The sequence below is a fragment of the Homo sapiens genome, chromosome 15 (genome assembly GCF_000001405.40).
Source record: "Homo sapiens chromosome 15, GRCh38.p14 Primary Assembly".
NCBI classification, from domain to species: domain Eukaryota; kingdom Metazoa; phylum Chordata; class Mammalia; order Primates; family Hominidae; genus Homo; species Homo sapiens.
Genome location: NC_000015.10, coordinates 62,344,830 through 62,346,246, shown reverse-complemented (window position 1 = coordinate 62,346,246; position 1,417 = coordinate 62,344,830). Strand labels below are relative to the sequence as shown.

Sequence of the window (1,417 nt, the reverse complement as noted above, 5' to 3'; positions counted from 1 at the left end):
ATCCAGCCCTGAATTGCTTGTCCCTAGACTTTTACATGAAAAAGAGAAAAAAAAACCCACAAAAATAAAAGTGATTATATCTGTGAAGCCCCATTGTTATTTTGGAATTTTTTCTTTGAGATGAACTTACTAATCCTAATTTATATGGTCCTCAGTGTCTTTTGGTGGTAACTTCCTGTTTTCTTCCCTTTTCAATTGTCCTTGATCTCCATTTACACAGATGTCCCTGTCTCAAACCGTGGGAGAGCGGTGATGGAGAAGGAGACACACTGTCCTTGGGGATTGAGGAGGCAGTGGAGAGCATAGCATTTTAAGAGGTCTTATGCCAGTTTCTGTACCTACCCCCCTCAGCCTGGTAAATGAGGAGGTGCAGCGCCTTCCTCTTAGCTTCGCACTGAGCCAGGCACATACAAAGATGTTTCCATTTATTTTATTTTTATTTTTATTTTTTGAGACAGAGTCTTGCTCTGTCACCCAGGCTGGAGTGCAGTGGTGCGATCTTGGCTCACTGCAACCTCCACCTCCTGAGTTCAAGTGATTCCCCTGCCTCAGCCTCCTGAGTAGCTGGGATTACAGGTGCCCGCCACCACGCCCAGCTAATTTTTGTATTTTTAGTAGAGATGGGGTTTCACCATGTTAAGTCAGGCTGGTCTTGAACTCCTGACCTCATGGTCCACCCTCCTCGGCCTCCCAAAGTGCTGGGATTACAGGCCTGAGCCACCACGCCCGGACCTATTTATTTTATTTTATTTTATTTTTATGGCTTACTTTTTCTGTCTTAAGCTAGCTACTTCATTATCATCATTTACCCTCTGATAGTCACCCAAGTACTGAAGGCAAGCATTGTCTTTATTAAATCGAGAACTGATCACTTCACTGTCTCCTCTAAAACTTTGGATGCCCAACATCTCACATTGCTATAAGGAAAAGGCCAAAGTCCTTAGTCCAGCCACAAAAGTCCTCACAATCTGGCTAAAGCCGACTCTTCATTTCCTCTCCCACCTCTCCCACTCAGAAAACCTAAAGTGTAGGTAGCCACTGTGAGGAAACCTACCAATGTCAGCCATTCAGCGACATCTGGGTCCCACAGGGTGTTGTACAGGTGGCCACTAGAGGGACTCTTCTCAAAGTTAACAACAGAACGAGTGTGTCTCTGTGTGTGTGTGTGTGTGTGCGTGTGCGCGCGCACGCGTGCGTATGTACGTGTGTGTGCGCGCACGCGCGCGCCTGAGTAGCAGGTGGGTTTGAAGGCTTGATTATCAGCTTCCCCACCTAAAAGCAGTTGATAGAAGATGCTGACCTGGATTGGGGCCTTGGCTATTTACTCGGGCAGGTTGGATCAGGCCCTGGGGAGCAGGGAGGAAAGTGGGGGTGGGAATGGAAGGAGGGAAGGAGCCCTGGAAAGTTTGGTATAGAC

General features: G+C 47.2%; 1 annotated feature.

Moving 5' to 3' along the window:
- Window positions 715-1,215: an enhancer, noted in NCBI's record as "H3K4me1 hESC enhancer chr15:62637231-62637731 (GRCh37/hg19 assembly coordinates)". NCBI's record gives its function as "activates a minimal SCP1, AML or CMV promoter by ChIP-STARR-seq in primed H9 embryonic stem cells {active_cell/tissue: H9 hESC(primed)}" and the evidence as "EXISTENCE:reporter gene assay evidence [ECO:0000049][PMID:30033119]".